This window comes from Homo sapiens, chromosome 1 (assembly GCF_000001405.40).
Source record: "Homo sapiens chromosome 1, GRCh38.p14 Primary Assembly".
Lineage (NCBI taxonomy): Eukaryota > Metazoa > Chordata > Mammalia > Primates > Hominidae > Homo > Homo sapiens.
In genome coordinates, this window is record NC_000001.11 from 19,859,274 (window position 1) to 19,879,323 (window position 20,050).

Here is a 20,050-nt window from a genome sequence, read left to right on the forward strand (position 1 = left end):
AGAAAGAGGCATTAAAAACCATCTAGTAGGGCTGGGCACGGTGGCTCACGCCTGTAATCCTAGCACTTTGGGAGGTCGAGGCGGGCAGATCACCTGAGGTCAGGAGTTCAAGACCAGCCTGATCAACATGGAGAAACACTGTCTGTATTAAAAATACAAAATTAGCTGGGCGTGGTGGTGTGTGCCTGTAATCCCAGCTACTTGGGAGGCTGAGGCAGGGGAATCACTTGAACCCAGAAGGCAGAGGTTGCAGTGAGCCGAGATCACGCCATTGCACTCCAGCCTGGGCAACAAGAGTGAAACTCCGTCTCAAAAAAAAAAAAAAAAAGCCATCTAGCAGGTTGAGTGCAGTGGCTCATGCCTGTAATCCCAGCACTTTGGGAGGCCAAGATGAGCAGATCACGAGGTCAAGAGATCGAGGCCATCCCAGCTAACATGGTGAAACCCCATCTTTACTGAAAATACAAAAAATTAGCCGGGCGTGGTAGGCTGTGCCTGTAGTCCCAGCTACTCGGGAGGCTGAGGCAGGAGAATCGCTTGAACCCAGGAGGCAGAGGTTGCAGTGAGCCGAGATCGTGTCACTGCACTCCAGCCTGGGTGACAAAGCAAGACTCCATCTCAAACAAAAACAAAAACAAAAACAAAAACAAAACAAAGAACAAGTTAATGTAATGATGTCACATCTGTGTTCAACTCGGTTTAGAAAACACAGGTTAGACTAAGCATGGCTTTCTTTGCCTTTTCTCTCTAATGTGGGGCTGCTACTTGTTTATTTGTGTAGTCCTTTTTGAGCATTCAACAGATACTATATTTATTGGGTTTTTTTCATGAGTCAGACTCAGCAGACAGATGGAAGGAAATTCTAAAAGTCTGGGAAAAAACATCTTTATGTGAGAAAAAATTACAATCGACAAACATCAAGTACCCTTTCTGGGAGTGTTTATATTTAGAAAGAGGTTTCATTTCTTTTTACCTGAAAAGAACAGCTGTAATAGTGGAATTTCGGCCAGTGTGACATGTCAGGAGAGGAGGTCTATTTGGGGACAGGAATACCCTCCCAAAGTCACTCAAATCATGCAATTGAGGCAGCACTTTCCTTGTCTGGGCAGAGGTCTTTCCAAAGGGTGGGTCCCAGTGGCAAGATGACTTCCAGCTTCATCTTGAGAAAAGATGGAGATGGGACCCTTGATGGGACTTGACCCTTGTGTAACTTTGCAGAAAAGAGAAGAGAGCAACAGTGGGAAGAACTTGCTCCATTCATGGCCATCTGGGTGGTGGAGCAGGTGTCTCCAGGTGTGTTCAGGTTGCCATGTCAATAAGCACGTCAGCCTGCACCTACCCTGCTGTTTCCAGAGAAACCCTCTCCTCTTCCTGGTGTCCTTTGCTCTGGGATTCAGCTTCCTCTACCATGACTATGAGTGAGCACAGATCCCACAGAAATCCTCTGCCCTTGACCCGTTCTCTTAGTGTTTAGAAGCACATCTGTAGGTGGGAAGGAAAGACAGTGGGAAGGAATGTCAGATGAATGACTTCAAAATGTCAACCCAAAGGCCTGTTGCTTCCTAAGTAGGTGGCCATGGCAAATGCTTTACCTTCCCAGGCTTCAGTTTCTTAAATCTGAAAGTGAGGATAACGATAGAATCTTCAGAGGGTTGTGGGAGGATTAAATGAAATCACACATGAAAATGCTTTAGCACAGTGGTAAATGCTTAATTAATAGTAGCTTGGATCATTATTCATGCCCCGAAAATTCAGGATATAAGACCAATTGATTCTTAGGGAGGCTCGTGGACCTGGCATGCACCTGTCTCCCACCACTGGCTCCCTGGGAGGCCCACAGTCTACTTTGCATATTTCCTAGCAGAGAAGAGAAGTGGCTTTATCTGTGGGGTAAAGTCCCCCACTCCAGGAAGGAATTCAGGGGGTGGAACAGAATGGGTGTTGGATTCTGATCTCTGTGGATGACTCACCTGCTTTGGCTTGGAACTTGCCTTTGCAAAATGGGGATAATAAAGCATTTCCCCCTTCACTGCCCCTCCCTTGTCTCCCAATTTATGAGTCTGGCAGGAACTGATTAGCTTGTAAACTGTTCTGGTCTCCCTTGGAGAAAAACATCTGATGGAGGCGGTGAGGATGGTTACAGTTTTCAGAATTGAAGATTTCAAAGCAATGCTTCCCAATACGTGGAAGTGAAGACTTTGTTACATCTGGACTCAGGCAAGTGTAGGGTACAAATAGTATAGTATTACCTGGGAAGGTCAATCTTGGAGAACCAATGGTCCTAGGGTTAGTATTTGTGCCTGAAGCTATGTGGTAGGATAAATGATTTTCAGACCCTTGGCAACAAGGAACTTTTATTCAAAACTTTGTGGTTAGGGCACAGGCTCTGAGTTGGACTCTCAGGTTTGAATTCTAGCTCAACTGTTGCTAGCTGTGTGACCTTGCACCAGTTTGCTAATCTTTCTGAGCCTCAGTTTCCTCATATGTAAAATAGAAGTAATGACAATACCTAACTCATAGGATTGTTTTCAGTATTAAATGAGTTTTAAAAATCTAAAGCTTGAACAGAGTGTTTGACACAGCCAAAGGCTTGGTAAGTAAGTATTAGCTTTTATCCATCTATACATCAGCTTATCCATGTATATCATCATGATGTGGACTGAGCAGTGCTGTGTAGAAGTAAGAATCTGGTATTTGAAACAGTTACACCCTGAGTTCCAATCCTGCCTGACCACTCAGAAGTTTTGTGACCTCTGGGCCTTTGCACATACTGTCCCTCAGTTTCTGTATCTAATGGCTGAAAGATGATGATACCTAAATAAGCTGTATAAAATACAAAAACATCTTTAAAGTGTCAAAGAGCTAACAAGACACTGAGGAAGACTGGCTGAGATCTGGGAAAAGACAGGATCTCAGAGAGGTGAGCCCAATACTCCAGGCTGCTTTTGTCCAGGAACGTTGGCTGATGTTGAATAGGCACTAAATGATTGAGCTGTAATTTTGTCAGCCTGTAGAGATCTGCTTGAACTCTAGCTTGAACTGTGGCTAGTCTTTGAGTCATCAGGGTGGCCCAGAAAATCTCAATGTTTTGAATTTGATTAAATCATCTAAGACAGTCAGTAGCCTCAGGTGTTTGACAGAAGCTAATGACAATCCCCTTTGGAAGAACAGAACATCATCCTTGGCCTCAAATCAATAATTATGTTTTAAAATACAGTATCCAATAAGCAAGAAAGATATCTAGGCACATGAAGAGACAAGACATTGCCTTGTCACGCCTGTAATCCCAGCACTTTGGGAGGCCAAGGCGGACAGATCACAAGGTCAGAAGTTCAAGACCAGCCTGACCAACATGGTGAAACCCCGTCTTTACTAAAAATACAAAAATTAGCCCGGCGTGGTAGCGCATGCCTGTAATCCCAGCTACTGGGGAGGCTGAGGCTGGCAGATCACCTGAGGTCAGGAGTTTGAGACCAGCCTGACCAACATAGTAAAACCCCATCTTTACTAAAAATACAAAAATTAGCCAGGTGTGGTAGCACATGGATGTAATCCCAGCACTTTGGGAGGCTGAGGTGGGCGGATCACTTGAGGTCAGGGGTTTGAGACCAGCCTGGTCAACATGGTAAAATCCCATCTTTACTAAAAATAAAAAAAATTAGCCAGGGCTGGTGGCACGTGCCTGTATTCCCAGCTACTGAGGAGGCTAAGGCAGGAGAATTGCTTGAACCCAGGAGGTGGAGGTTGCAGTGAGCCAAGATCATGCGATTGCACTCCAGCCTGGGCAACAGAGCAAGACTTCATCTCAGAAAAAAGACGAGACACCATGAACAAGAGTCAAGAAAAACAACAGACAGCAGAAACAGATCCATAGGAACTACTGTTGATGGAATTAACAGAGACCAATCAGAAAACAACCATGCTTACTACATTCAAGGAGATACAAGTTGGAAGATGTTGTCAGAAAACAGGAAAGTGATAAAAAGTGATAGCATATTTGAAAAAGAACCAATAGAAATTCCATAACTGAAAAATATAAGAACCAAAACTAAGAATGCAATGGATGGTTTTAGTGTTAGATTAGACGCAGCTAAAGAAAAAATAGCAACGAACTGTAAAGGTCAAAACAGGTCAAAAGACAATCTTTTAAGATACAGTATGGGGAATTAAAAAGGCAGGAAATATAGAAGAAGTAAATGACATGAAATGTCTAACTTAATAATTGGAGTCTCAGAAGGAAAAAGACAAGGGAGCACAGGTTATGTTTGAAGATAATGACGAAAAAAGGTGCCAGAGGCCGGATGCAGTGGCTCACGCCTGTAATCCCAGCACTTTGGGAGGCTGAGGTGGGCGGATCACCTGAGGTCAAGAGTTCGAGACCAGCCTGGCCAACATGGAGAAATCCCATCTCTACTAAAAATACAAAATTAGCTGGGTGTGGTGGCGCATGCCTGTAATCCCAGCTACTCGGGAAGCTGAGGCATGAGAATCGATTGAACCCGGGAGGTGGAGGTTTTGGTGAGCTGAGATCGCACCATTGCACTCCAGACTGGGCAACAAGAGCGAAACTCCGTCTCAAAAAAAAAAAAAAAAGGTGCCAGAATGAGAATACATTTCTTCAGACACAAGAAGCCCAACAATTCCCTTTTGTTTAAAGAAGCCCAAGAATAAACAGGAAGAAATCCACACCTAATGATGAAACTGCCCCAGTGATTCCTATTCTTGGAACATTCTTTCGCAATGACCATTCTAGCTAAATCTTATCCAAGGGCACATCTTATCTTACAACTAACGTAAACTAAAATACTTCATGTTTCTCCTCCTCTCCCCAGTTCTGAGTTAGGTGGACCCTCCTCTTTATTCCCAAAACATCCTAGGCTTACTTGGATTTTCTAGCAAATCATAGTTGACATTGCCTCTTTTTTTTTTTTCCCCCGAGACGTAGTCTTTCTCTGTTGCCCAGGCTGGAGTGCAGTGGCGTGATCTTGGCTCACTGCAACCTCTGCCTCCCGGGTTCAAGCAATTCTCCTGCCTCAGGCTACCGAGTAGGTGGGATTACAGGCGCACGACACCATGCCTGGCTGATTTTTGTATTTTTAGTAGAGACGGAGTTTCACCATGTTGGCCAGCTTGGTCTTGAACTCCTGACCTCGTGATCCGCCCTTGTCGGCCTCCCAAAGGGCTGGGATTATCGGCATGAGCCACCGCGCCTGGCCCAACATTGCCTCTTTATCTTAACTCTTAACACCAGACTGTGAGCTCTAGGAGGGTAGGGAATATGTCTTTGTTGTGGTTCCCCAGCATCTCAGCACAGAGCCTGGCACACAGAAAAGTACTGGAAAATGTTTGTCCAAGAATTAAAGTTATCTAAATTCTTTGAGCCTCAATTTTCTCATCCACAAAATGGGGACAATAATACCAATCTCATGCATTCTCTACATGATTGTGAGAATTAAATCAGATGAAACTGGTGTACCAGACATTTCTTGACACAGTAATGCTATATAGTTGAACTCCCTAAGCCTCTGTTTTTTTATTTGTCAAATGGAGACAATAATACCCACTGGGTCATTTTTATTATGGGCCGAGACAAGATATCAAGCATGTCATAGTTGACAGTGAGGGTTAAATGAACTAAAAGGATGCCCATTTGTTGAATTCCTATGATGTGTCATTGGCTGTGTTAGGAGATTTATATTCATTATCTCATTTTCAAGTAGATGAAAACATGAAGCATATGGTTCTTTTCTTCACTCTTAGATGCCTGAGAACTAAAAGTCTTACAGAGACCTCATCATAGAAGAACTGTCCTGGAGGAAGAGGAAGGAGAAAGAGAAAAAATGTTTTATATCCTGGGGGAAGCTCCTGATTTTCAAGCTCTGCTCCAAGCTCTGGGCTGAAGTAGAGAGCAATGATTTTGTTGAGCAGGATTACCTCTTTTATGCTCAGTTAATTAAAACATTTTTCTGGATGATGCAAAAGTCTGCAAAGCCATAAAGCCATAGGGACTGTTAGTAATTCTGGCCTAATGTTACTCTTCCTATAATCAGTAACCTTCCCAGAAATAAATATCCAGTTCAGTAAAAACCATCCCCTTCTAGAAAGACAAGAAGGGGTACATGGTCAAAATCTCATGAGGCTGATTTGAAAGGACCCAAAGCCCTGTCCTCGGTTGTTTTATGCCAGCAACCTCTGGTGCCCATTTTGTGTAGGCATTGTGTGACACACTCATTTGATTTTTACAGCACTTAAAGTTTGCATTAATTTGTGTTATACTAGATGCTAAAGTTTCAGAAACCCTAAAATTTCAGAGGTTTAACACAATAGAAGTTCATTTTTCTCTCACTTAGTCCAATGAAGTTGTTATTGGTCAATGGGTAGTTTTCCTCCATACAGTGACTCAGGGATCCAGGCCTGGATGATGACACACGTCACTTCTGTTCATGTCCCCGTGGCAGAAATTAGTCCCATGGCTGCATCTGGGTACAAGAAGACTGGAAAATGGAACCCAGGTTTGGGCAGCCGCTTTTCAGCAACAACTTCACACTATGGAAGGGGAGGCATGAGTTTTGGGCAGACAGCAATATCTTTTAGAAATGTATTATCATTATCATCGTCATAATCATCATCATTCCCTACCCCATTTTTGGGTGGGGAAACTGAGATTTCAATGTTTAGGTAACTTACCCAAGGTCCATAGCTAGTAAGTGGTAGAAGCAGAATTTGAACTCAGGTAGTCTGGTTGCAAATCCCATGTGCTTGCTACTGTAACCTGATAGCATGCAATGATGAATAAGATGTAGTCATTCTCCCCAGAGCCCCCCAGGAAAAAGGTAATGTCACATATGCCCATAAGAAGTGCTTACACAGTCATTCTAAGTCAGAGCTTAGATTCCACCTTCAAAAAGAAGACTTCCCTGCTGCCCTTATCTTCTAGTCATTCAGCACCCCCAGGCACTCTGTCTCATATACCCCCATGTGTTTTCTTCACAGTGCTATCACCATCTGAAATCATACACACATTTGTTTCTTTGTGTGTCGACTATCTCCCCAACTATAATATAAACTCCCTGAAAGCAGGGACCTGTCTATCTTGTTAGTATCCCAGTACCCATCATAGAATCTGGCATAGAGTAAATCCTTCATCAATTTTTGTGAAATAAATGAGCAGATATATCTACCAAATGCTGCTGAAGCAGATACATTCACTTACTCATTCTGATATTCATTCTCTCATGTACTTGCGGAGTCACATACTCATTCATTCATTCATTCATCTGTAGACTCTCAAAAGTCAGGGCCTCATCTGGGGATAAAGAGGTGATAGTTCTTGGTCTAAGAGTAGCTTGGGAAAACCTGACAGGCTTCCTGTAGGTGGTGATGTTAGAGCTGGAGGGAGTATTTTTGGGTTGGGGAAAGGGGTGTTATATTACTTCTTTGGACACTTTTACATTTTCACTTGATCTGTTCCCAAATGCATTGCTCTCACTACCTTTGTAAACTACCATTGTTGGGAAGAAGACCAGCCTGGCTACCATTTTATGACTGCAAAGCTCTTGAATGTTACAAAGAATCTAAGGAGTATGTAATAGATTCACCATGGCACAAAGTGGGCTGGTCATTTCTGTCTGAGAGGGGAGTAAGGGCGGGTTCTAGCTTCATAGCAAAGTGCTAGTAGCTTTTGTTAGTCTATAATTAAGTGACTCAGCCACCCATGTGACAATCAGCCCATCTCAAATTCCTGATGCTACAGTAATGCCAATGTCACAGCTGTAAGCATGAGTGGACTGTCCCCAAGGAACAGTACTCAAAATCTTAAAAATCTGAGTTGTATTCTCCAGTTTTCTTTTTGGACAAGCCAAGCCAATGAGTATGGCAGCTATGTCAATTCCTGGTACCAATAATATGCTTATATAATGTCACGAATGACATACCTGACAGAATCAAAGTTAGGGTTGGCTGCTCTAGAAAGAAATAGTTGAACTTTTCCTATGAGAGGCTGCTCCAGCCCTAGAATTGTTGAGGTCTGGTGCTGATGAAAGCTTAGAGAACAGGCTTAGAGCAAAGGGCCAGGTGTTCCAAAAGTTGTTCACATCTTCTTTGGGATGCTTTTTATTTAAAAAAATACCACTGTAATAAAATTTTAATGTCTGAAATTTAGAAAAATACAAACATGCAAAAAATGCAAACAAAACAAAGTAAAAATCATGTCCAATTCTGAGAGCCCAGAGGTAATCAACTTAATTTGATGCCTATTCTTTCATTTTCTCTTTCTCTCTCTGCATGTATGTACGTGTGTGTCTTTTTCCAAAAATGGGAGCCCCACCTCTTTGCAAACTTCTCTTTTCACCCAATAACACATTGCATACACCGTTTCATTTCATTTGATCTGTCATTTTCTATGAGACTATTTTTATTGGTTACTGATTATTCTATGATATGGCGGAATTCCTTGTTTATTTGAAAAAGCCCCTATGGGGTAGCCATTTAAGTTGCTTGTCATCTTTCCCATGAAAATATATGCCTGAATGATTATTTCTGAGGCTAGGTATTGAGTCAAATGATGAGGAGTTTTAATTTAATTTAATTTTTTTGAGACAGAATCTTGCTCTGTTGCCTTGGCTGGAGTGCAATACCATGATCTTGGCTCACTGCAACCTCTGCCTCCCAGGTTCAAGTGATTCTTGTGCCTCAGCAGCCCGAGTAGCTGGCATTACAGGCATGTCCCACCAGTCCCAACTAATTTTTGTATTTTTTGTAGAGATGGGATTTCACCATGTTGGCCAAGCTTGTCTTGAATTCCTGGCCTCAAGTGATCCGTCTGCTTTGGCCTCCCAAAGTGCTGGGATTACAGGTGTGAGCCATCATGCCCTGCCTGGTGTGTACCTTTTAAATCATGGCATTTTTTTCACCAGAAAAATGGAGAAACTCTAGTTGTTCTAGCTGTGCAAATTGAAATAAAGGTTAATTTAAAGTGTGTGTGGGTGGAGAGACTGAGTGTAATATTATGATTAGCTGTAAATACAAAAATTAAATGCTCTTTTATTTGAATAGATCTACTGCAAGGGGGTCATTTTGACCGCAATTCTTTCTTGTAATGGAAAACTATAGAGATATTCACCTGGGAAGTAGTAGGTAGTGGAAACACCGGATTTCCCCTCCTTTCAGGATGTTTAGGTTTATGCTTTTGCATGTGACATTTTTTGTGAACTTTTAAATGGGCTTGGAAATCTTCTGCTTTATTTGAGAGATCCTCTCTCTAGGACTGGGTCTCTCCTAGACTTTACCGATATAATACGTACCCATTTATTCCTTTCATCTTCTCCAAGAAGAGAAACGAACACAGAGCCAAAGGAAGCAGCTTCCTAGGCTATCAGCAGATATGTCTTCTTTTTTTTTCTTTTCTTTTTTTTTTGAGATGAACTCTTGCTCTGTCACCCATGCTGGAGTGCAGTGGCGTAATCTTGGCTCACTGCAATCTCTGTCTCCCAGGTTCAAGTGATTCTCCTGCCTCAGCTTCCTGAGTAGCTGAGATTACAGGCGTCTGCCACCACGCCTGGCTAATTTTTGTATTTTTAATAGAGATGGTGTTTCACCATATTGGCCAGGCTGATTTCAAACTCCTGACCTTAGGTGAGCTACCCACCTTGGCCTCCCAAAGTGCTGGGATTACAGGCTTGAGCCACTGCATCCAGACCAGATTTATCTTCTTCACAGGACAGGCGTGTTCTCGAGGAGGGCTGAGAATGATTCCCAGCTACTCTACAGGACCAGTGGCTTGTATCAGCAGTCACAGTGAGATGCAGGGTTTTCATGGCTATGAGGAGTTTACTCTCTCATCAACCCTGTCCACCTTCAATAGTCAAAGGCAGTTCTCTGCCAACCCAGTCTGATCATAGGATTTCCTCCCATTTATAGGATACACACTATATGCCAGGCAGGTTATATCCATCAACTTGCAAGGTAGACATTTGTATCTCTATTTTGCAGATGAAGAGATAGAAACTGAACGAGGTGAATGACTTGCCCAGGGTCACACATTTAGGAAGTGGATGAGCCAGGATTCTGATTCAGCTCCATCTGATTCCAGAGCCCCTAAACTCTCGCCTCTATGCCTCATTGCCACTGTGACTTGTTACTATTCCTGTAACTTTGAACTCATCAGAGGTGGGTAGATTTTGACAAAGGAATTGTTATTTTTCGTTGTCTGTGTTTTATGGCTCCAGCAATGCCATTTTTCTACCAATCATACATGTTAATGGTCTGAAAAACTTGGTTTTATGGGTATAACCAAAGAATCCTGAGGACATATAAGTAAATGCCTTTATCTAAAAATGTGGGCTGGGGGCGATGACTCACACCTGTAATCCCAGTGCTTTGGGAGGCTGAGGTGGGAGGATGGCTTGAGGCCAGGTGTTTGAGACCAACTTGGGTAACATAGTGAGACCCTGTATCTACAAAAAAATTAAAAAATTAGCCAGGCATGATGGTGTGTGCCTGTAGTCCCAGCTACTTGGGGGGCTGAAGTGGGAGGATTGCTTGAGCCCAGGAATTCAAGGTTATAGTGAGCTATGATCATGCCACTGAACCCAGCCTGGGTAGCAGAATGAGACCTTGTCTCTCTAAAAAACATAAAGAATAAAAAATAAATTTGGGCTTCTGGCTCTGGTTGCCATGAAGAGAGGAACCTACTCATCCTTCAGGAATGAGTTCTGGGCTCTCTGGGAGCTTTTCCTGATGCTTCCGTCCTCCCCTCCAGTTCTGGATCAGATGCCTTAGAACTCTGAATCTGTCACTTGAGAGAGGCATCATAAAGAAATGTTCAGCTTTGACGTCTGCCTCTCCCAGATACAAGGGCCTTCTTATCAGTGCTGTCTGCCTTGAGTGCTCAACAGATGAGTCTGGGCTTATCTGGCAAAGTGATTTTCAGCTTTTCACTTCCTGCATCTGTCCATTCCACTCAATGGCCATTTCTGGGGCCTCCTGGGTGCCACGGATAACTAAGACAGAGTCTCCACCGCGGAAGATTCCTGTCTAGTGGAGTCAGGCAGATAGTAAATCTGAATATTTAATAGCAAAAAATTGAAAGTGAGTGAACAAAAGCTACATGTATCATCAACATGGATAAGTTTCAAAAATATACAGTTCAGCCGGGTGCGGTGGTTCAGGCCTCTAACCCAGCACTTTGGGAGGCCGAGGTGGGTGGATCACCTGAGGTTAGGAGTTCGAGACCAGCCTGGCCAACATGGCGAAACACTGTCTCTACTAAAAATACAAAAATTAGCAGGGCATGGTGGCATGTGCCTGTAATCCCAGCTATTTGGGAGGCTGAGGCAGGAGAATCGCTTGAACCTGGGAGGCAGAGGTTGTAGTGGGCTGAGATCACACCACTGCACTCCAGCCTGGGCAACAGAGTAAGACTCTGTCTCAAAAAAAAAAAAAAAACTATGTGTATATATATATACGTACATATAATCCTTTATAAACAATAAAAGTCATGGAAGATACATCTACCTTGGTCTCATTTATATAAAGTTAAAAATGCTAAACAATACTGCATATGATTTAGTGATACAAACCAATGTGCGATAAATACCAAAGTGATGATAGTAGTTATCTCAAGGTGATAGGGAGGAACTCCTGTTGGGGAGAGGTGGATAGCGGGCTTCAATTGTATATGTGACATCTTATTTCTCAGGGGAAGAGTGGGAGACATGTGAGTGTATGTGGCATTATTCTCTTTATATATTTGTAATTGCTAATACTTCACTTTAAAAGGTAGGCTCTAGGCCAGGCACGGTGGCTCACACCTGTAATCCCAGCACTTTGGGAGGCCGAGGCGGGTGGATCACGAGGTCAGGAGTTCAAGACCAGCCTAGCCAATATAGTGAAACTCATCTCTACTAAAAATACAAAAAATTAGCCAGGCGGGGTGGCGCATGCCTGTAATCCCAGCTACTCGGGAGGCTGAGGCAGGAGAATCGCTTAAACTCGGGAGGTGGAGGTTGTAGTGAGCAGAGATCATGCCACTGTACTCCAGCCTGGGTGACACAGCAAGACTCCATCTCAAAAAAAAAAAAAAAAAAAAAAAAAGGTAGGCTCTAAAGAAATACACACAAATATACACATGTAGTCTCATCCTTGTTTTATATTTTAAAATAATTTTATGTTTGTCGTGGAGAAAAGGTGGGAGGAAATATTAGGTTAAACCGTATGAAATTGTCATTTTTGTAGGCTGAAAATTGTCAAATATCAGCAATTTCATATGGTTCAACCTAACACATCAAAATGGCAACAATCATTATTCCTGAGAGTGCAAGTATGGGTGATTTTGTTTTCTTTTAAATTTTTAATGTCTTTTTTGGTTTTCTATCATGAGCAGGTATTTCTCTTTTTTTTTTTTTTTTTTTTTTTTTTTGTGACAGAGTCTCGCTCTGATGCCCAGGCTGGAGGTCAATGGCGCGATCTCAGCTCACTGCAACCTACGCCTCCCAGGTTTAAGCGATTCTCGTGCTTCAGCCTCCTGATTAGCTGGAACTACAGGTGATCGCCACAACGCATGGCTAATTTTTGTATTTTTAGTAGAGACAGGGTTTCACCATGTTGCCTAGGCTGGTCTTGAACTCCTGACCTCAGTTGATCCACCCACCTCGGCCTCCCAAAGTGCTGGGATTATAGGCATGAGCCACCGCTCCCGGCCAACATGTATTTTTCATATCAGAAAAATATCCATGTATATTGAGAGAAAAGAGAGGAAGTTGTTGGGCCCACCTTGGGGATGGGACTTCATGCCCGGCAGTGTGGGATGATGAAGGGAGAGAGGGCTGTGTTCGAGTTCCTGCTCTGCTAGTAACCAGCTAATGTGACCAACAAATCCACTTTACCTTCTTGGGACCTCAATCTCTCCATCTATAAAACAGCAAAGTTGGAAAAGGATCATTTCCAATGTGCTTTTATGTTCTATAAGCCTTTTTTGCTTTATGCCAAGTCTATTCCCTTAGACGTGGGGGAAAGTCGAGTTGACGGCAGTTCATCTCCACATCACAAAATATGTCTTTCTGCTGCCCCCTCGTGTGGCCTGTGGAACAGCCTTCCACTTCCCGTCACCTGGTTAGTTCATTTGTGCCCCAGGGTGGGGTCCTGGCACAGGTGCTGATGATGCAGTTGTAAATAATGAGTTTACACAGGATGACGATGACTGCAAATACTGTGGGCCATTAGGATCTCTGGCACAGACACCAAACAAAGACATTGCTATGGAGCTGTAAAAGATAAATCCCACAGCTCGAGGTCCAGCAAGTTCACTGAATGAGCATGAGGAAGAGGAGTCCTCCACTGCCACCCCATAACCATATTTTCCCCATTAAGGGCCAATGATGAAATGGATCAAGTGAGGGTCACATACAAACAATAGCTGTTGTTTTATTGTCCTTGAGAGAAATGCAGAATGTTCTCTTTCTTTCTTTCTTTCTTTCTTTCTTTCTTTCTTTCTTTCTTTCTTTCTTTCTTCCTTCCTTCCTTCCTTCCTTCCTTCCTTCCTTCCTTCCTTCCTTCCTTTCTTTTTTGAGACGGAGTCTCGCTCTGTCACCTAGGCTGGAGTGCAGTGGCGTGATCTCAGCTTAATGCAACCTCTGCCTGCCGGGTTCAAGCAACTCTCTGCCTCAGCCTCCCAAGTAGCTGAGATCACAGGCGGCAGCCACTATGCGCAGCTAATTTTTGTATTTTAGTAGAGATGGGTTTCCACCATCTTGGCCAGGATTGTCTTGAACTCCTGACCTTGTGATCCACCTGCTTCAGCCTCCCAAAGTGCTGGGATTACAGGCGTGAGCCACAGTGCCTGGCCAGGTTTCTAGCAATTTCTAGTGGCTAGGAAAAGGAATGATGAAGGATATTAAACCCTTCACTTCACACATATGAATAATTTAGTATATGTAATATAGTTTGGTCTTATAGCCATTTAGGAGAAAGTAGAGAGAATGGGCAGTGGTGAGGAAGGAAACAAAAAAAAGCCCAGAAATTAAGGGAAAGAGGAGGAGGGAAACTAACACTTACGGTGCCAGGGACTTTGCTGGAGTTGTGATATCAATACTTCAGAACAATCCGGAGAAGAAGCCCCAACTGCTCTCATTTTTTCCACACAAAGAAACTAGAGCTCAGAAAGATTATGGAAAACAATGCTGGCCACACAGCTTGTAAGAAGTGGGAACTGGACTCAATTCTGTCTGACCACTCCAAAACCTGTTGTTTTATTTTTTATTTTGGTCCACCCTATGCTAAGTGGGTGAGATAAAAGGAGCACTGGAAATGCAGAGGAAGAGGAGGAAGTTGGAGAGGGAAAGTGGGACAGGCAGAGGCACACGGAGGATGACCCACGGCCATCAAGAACAGGAACTGCCGGCAGAAAGAGACAGGGGAGGCTGGGCGCGGTGGCTCATGCCTGTAATCCCAGCACTTTGGGAGGTCAAGGCAAGCGGATCCCCTGAGGTCAGGAGTTCAAGACCAGGCTGGCCAACGTGGTGCAATTCCATTTCTATTAAAAATACATACAAATTAGCCAGGTGTGGTGGCATGTGCCTGTAATCCCAGCAACTTGGGGAGGCTGAGGCAGAAGAATCGCTTGAGCCCAGGAGGCGAAGATTGTGGTGAGTCGAGATTGCACCACTGTACTCCAGAGTGGGTGACTGAGCAAGACGCCATCTCAAAAAAAAAAAAAAAAAGAGAGAGAGAGAAAAAGGAGTCAGAGAATTCCACATGTGTGTGCGCGTATATGCAAACACACACATGCCCTCAACATCACTATCACTATCACCACCATCACCATCACCACCACCACCACCATCACCACCACCACCATCACCACCACCACCACCACCACCACCACCATCACCACCACCACCATCTAAGCAGAAGCAGAAACACAGGGTAACTGAAAGAGGGAAAAAAAGACTTTTGCTGATAACATTCTTCCCTGTGCCCTGTTAGGATACTGTCATGGAAGGTAATTGATATGGTTAGGCTCTGTGAACCCACCCAAATATCATCTTGAATTATAATCCCCATAATCCCCACGTGTTGAGGGAGGGACCGGGTGGGAGGTGATTGGATCATGGGAGCAGTGTCTCCCATGCTGTTTTCATGATAGTGAGTGAGTTCTCACAAGATCTAATGGTTTTATAAGTGTCTGATATTTCCTCCTTTGCACACTTGCTGTCTCTTGCCTACCATCATGTAAGACGTGCCTCTTTCCCTTTTGCCATGATTGTAAGTTTCCTGAGGCCTCCTCAGTCATGCAGAACTGTGAGCCAATTAAACCTCTTTTCTTTATAAATTACCCAGTCTTGGGCAGTTCTTTATAACAGTGTGAGAATGGACTAATACAGTAATCAAACCATGTTGCATTTTCACAACATTAGGAACAAATAAGGAAATGAAAGACCTGGCCTTGGCTGGGTGCAGTGGCTCATGCCTGTAATCCCAGTACTTTTGGAGGCCAAGGTGGGAGGATCACTTGAGGCCAGGAGTTTGAGATCAGCCTAGGCAATACAGTGGGACTCCATCTCTACAAAAAATGAAAAAATAAAAAAATCAGTTGGGTGTGGTGATGTGCACCTGTAATCCCAGCCTCTTGGGAAGCTGAGGTGGGAGTATTGCTTGAGCCCAGGAGGTCGAGGCTGCAGTGAGCCGTAATCACGCCACTGCACTCCAGTCTGGGCGTCAGAGCAAAATCCTGTCTCTAAAATAAAATCAAATAAGGCCAAGCATGGTGGCTCACACCTGTAATCCCAGCACTTTGGGAGGCTGAGGCGGGTGGATCACGAGGTCAGGAGATCGAGACCATCCTGGCTAACATGATGAAACCCCGTCTCTAATAAAAATACAAAAAATTAGCTGGGCGTGGTAGGATGTGCCTGTAGTCCCAGCTATTCGGGAGGCTGAGGCAGGAGAATCACTTGAACCCCAGAGGCGGAGGTTGCAGTGAGCCGAGATCGTGCCACTGCACTCCAGCCTGGGCGACAGACAGAGCGAGACTCCGTCTCAAAAAACAATAATAATAATAACAATAAATAAAATAAAGACTGCCGAGGGGATGCTTTTTGTTCTGATTCTTTGATGTCTACATATGTCTCCTGTGCCCATCGAATATAGGGAAATATTATGAATTCAAATTCTGGTAATCCTGGCCGGGCATGGTGGCTCATGCCTGTAATCCTAGCACTTTGGGAGGCCGAAGTGGGTGGATCGTTTGAGGTCAGGAGTTCAAGACCAACCTGGTCAACATGGTGAAACCCTGTCTCTACTAAAAATACAAAAATCAGCCTGGCACGGTGGCACATGCCTGTAATCCCAGCTACTTGGGAGGCTGAGGCAGGAGAAGTGCTTGAGCTGGGAGGTGGAGGTTGCAGTGAGCCAAGATCATGCCACTGTACTTCAGCCTGAGCAACAGAGCAAGATTCCATTTCAAAAAACAAGAACAAAAACAAAAAAAACCACCAAATTCTAGTAATTCTTAACCTGTGACAGTTTGAACATGGCTGATTTGATATTTAATTTTGCTTAGAGAACCTTGTCCTCAGAAGAAGAGCAAATTAGCAATAAAATCAAGATTGATTAGGGGGCGATATGGTGAGAAGGGCAAGAGAGCAAATGCTAAGAACTCTTAAAGACTTCAGAAATGCCTGTTTCTAGGGGAAAGCTACATGCTTACTGCAAATTCCTTTTAGGTGAAAAAGTAGATCTCAAGATAACTCTATAGGGCTTCAATGTAAGGGAAAGAATAGATTTTGTTAGTCTAGAAAAATAATTTTGTTGGCCAGGTGTGGTGGCTGATGCCTATAATCCCAGCACTTTGGGAGGCTGAGGTGGGAGGATTGCTTGAGTCCAGGAGTTTGAGATCAGCCCGGGCAACATAGCGAGACCTTGTCTCTTTTAAAGAAAAAAAAAGAAAAGTTAATTATTTTATTAATTTTGCTGGGTGCAGTGGCTCACGCCTGTAATCCCGGCATGTTGGGAGACGGAGGTGGGCAGACCACCTGAGGTCAGGAGCTCAAGATCAGCCTGGCCAACATGGTGAAAACCCATCTCTACTAAAAATACAAAAAATTAGCTGGGCATGGTGGCGGGCGCCTATAATCCCAGCTACTATGGGGGCTGAGGCAGGAGAATCGCTTGAACACGGGAGGTGGAGGTTGCAGTGAGCTGAGATCGCACCATTGCACTCCAGCCTGGGCAACAAGAGCAAAACTTTGTCTCAAAAAAAAAAATAATAATTTTATTAATTGTAATAATGCACACAATACATGAACACAATACCCTCATTTAAAAATACATATGAAATAACGATAAGGTCACTTTCACTCTTTCCTCTCTCCTTACTCTGATCCATTTGCTATGTGCCCTTCCAAACCATCTTCTATGTTTCTGAGTATGAAGATAGAGGCGAGAAGATTGCTTGAGTCGAGGTATTGGAGGCTGTAGTGAGCCATAGTTGCCCCACTGCACTCCAGCCTGAGTAACAGAGTGAGAGCCTGTCACTAAAAAAGGAAAAAAAAAAGTACACACATATACTTGCAGAAAACATGTAATTCTTCTGTTGTGTCTTATGTTGTTGAGTTTTACATAAAGTCTGCACTGAACGGATCATTCGATCCCATACTTTTCATTTGACCACATGCCTAGGAGAGCTAACCATGTGAGTTCATCTAGACCGACCTCATTTCTCCACCACCTCATTCTTTTTTTGTTTTTGTGTTACTTTAAGTTCTGGGATACATGTGCAGAACGTGCAGGTTTGTTACATAGGTATACATGTACCACGGTGGTTTGCTGCACCTAACAACCCGTCATCTATCCACCACCTCATTCTTTTATGCTGCTGCGTTGTATGTAATAAATAGCTGTTCCATAATTTAAGAAGCCATTTTCCTATTGATGGATATTTAGGTTGTTTCTAGTTATTTGTTTTTACACACCACCATGCCTTAAACATCCTTCTGAGGCAGGATAAGTAAGGTTAGAAGGCCATGTTGACTTGTCCCCTTGTGTGACGCTCCGCGGGTTCCTTCCGCATCCTTTGCACCCACGCCTAACTCTTCTGCAAGGGTCCCACAGGATACCAGCCGACCAGATGGTTACAAGTTCCTGGTATCTGTCTCAGACAGCCCGGAAAAGAGAACAAAAAGCCCTAATTCTTCTTGTAGCTTCTCCAATCTCCAGCCAATCAGCTTCAAAAGCCCAAGAAGCTATTAGCTACAAATGCCTGCCCTGAGGGAGCTAGGGACTTCTCCGGGGTCCCGCATCGGCAGCTAGGCTCAAGGTTTAGCTTGCAGACCTTTTCCTCATTTTAATGGTTAAACAAAAGGCCAGGCGCAGTGCCTCACGCTTATCTGAGCACATTGGGAAGCTGAGGCGGGAGCAGCCTGGGCAACATAGTAAGACCTCGTCTCTATAAAAATTAAACAGAAAATTAGCGGGCCGTGGTGGCTTGCGCCTGTAGTCCCAGCTACTAGGGAGGCTGAAGCAGGAGGATGGCTTGAGCCTGGGGGGGTGGAGGTTGCAGTGGGCCGTGATGGCGCCACTGCACACCTGTTTAGGAGACAGAGCAAGACCCTGTCTCAAAAAAACAAAAAAGTAAAAAACACACCCCTAGGTGGTTTTATATGCTAAGGATACACGTTATGCGTGTTAGAGCACGTCGATGCTAAGCGCATGTGCCAACTGCAGGTCTGTCTTTGCATGTTTGACCTCAGCAGTATTTCATGAATATGCATGTACAGCTCCCATAAAGGGAATTCCCCGTAAGGTACTAGGGGCTGCCTCTCCCTTTTAGCAGCCTGCTTTGCCTCTCAGAGTGTACTTTTGAAGCAGCTACACTGTCTGGGGTATATACCCTGGGGTTCGTCATCTCGCACCAGGAAAATTTAGCTCACGGACACACACGAGGAGTTTAGGAGCTGAGGTTTAATAGGCAGAAGAGAAGAGAAAGAGCAACAGCTCTTTCAGGAGAGAGAGGTGTCTCCGAGTGGAAAAGAACTGTTGGTAGTGATGCACTGGATTTTATAGTCTAGCTTGAGGAGGCGGTGTCTGATTTACATAGGGCTCACAGATTGGTTCAATCAGGTGTGACATTTACATAGCAGGGAAGGCTGGTTCCCCACCCTAATCTTATTATGCAAATAAATTATCCTTGGCAGGCTATCTTGTCTGCTCCTTACTGTACACGTGGCTGGCAGAGAAGAGGCGATGAAGCCGCCATCTTGAACATGTCTAGTCGGTAGTTCCCTGTGGCATTTACCCGTGCAAGCTCCCAGCTTGTTTGTGTCTGCAGCTCCACTTTACAGGCTACTCTGTTAGAAGATGATTTGGGGCTGCTTTTCATTAAAAAGAAAAGCCTTACCGAGGACTCCCATGCCCTTACTATCTGCCTACGCGATTTCTTCTTAACTCCTGTATCACTTTTGCTTTGCAATAAACTTCTTTGCCTGCTCTTTGGAGTACTTTGGACTCACTCTCAAATTCTTTTACGTGGCTAAGTCAAGAACCTGAACGGGCCAACTGCCAACACTTGGACATACCTTCTAGTGCACGTGCATGTAATTTGCTTTAGGACTATCTGCGTCTGAGAGTGTACTTTTGAAGGAGCTACATTGTCCGGAGTATATACCCTGGGGTTCATCGTCTTGCACGAGGAAAATTTAGAATACGGATACACACGAGGAGTTTAGGAGGAGATGTAATATTTCTATTTTTAGGATAGATCACGAGATGTAGACACTAGACATTTAAAATGTTACCAGATACAGGCCAGGTGCAGTGGTTCATGCCTCTAATCCCAGCACAGTAAGAGGCTGAGGCACGCGGATCACCTGAGATCAGGAGTTCGAGACCAGACTGGCCAACATGGTGAAACCTCGCCTCTACTAAAAATACAAAAAAAAAAAAAAAAAAATTAGCTGGGCATGGTGGTGTGTGCCTGTATTCCCAGCTGCTCTGGAGGCTGAAGCAGGAGAATCTCTGACAATCTCTTCAGCCCGGGAGGCAGAGGTTGCAGTAA

The 20,050-nt window shown here is 44.0% G+C and overlaps 1 long non-coding RNA gene across 2 annotated transcripts in view; it reads right to left on the reverse strand.

The window, feature by feature from the left end:
* Window positions 1–937: 937 nt before the first annotated feature.
* Window positions 938–20,050, reverse strand: part of LOC105376823 (uncharacterized) — a 28,954-nt gene continuing 9,841 nt past the window's right edge. Inside the window, exons 2-3 of one of the 2 annotated variants that reach the window (XR_947028.3) lie at window positions 6,347–6,479; window positions 938–1,482 (exon numbers count right to left, since the gene is read on the reverse strand). This is a non-coding gene — a long non-coding RNA (uncharacterized LOC105376823). Of the gene's footprint in view, window positions 1,483–5,423; window positions 5,811–6,346; window positions 6,480–20,050 lie in introns of those variants that run through there. The other variant, XR_947027.3, reaches the window with a different exon arrangement.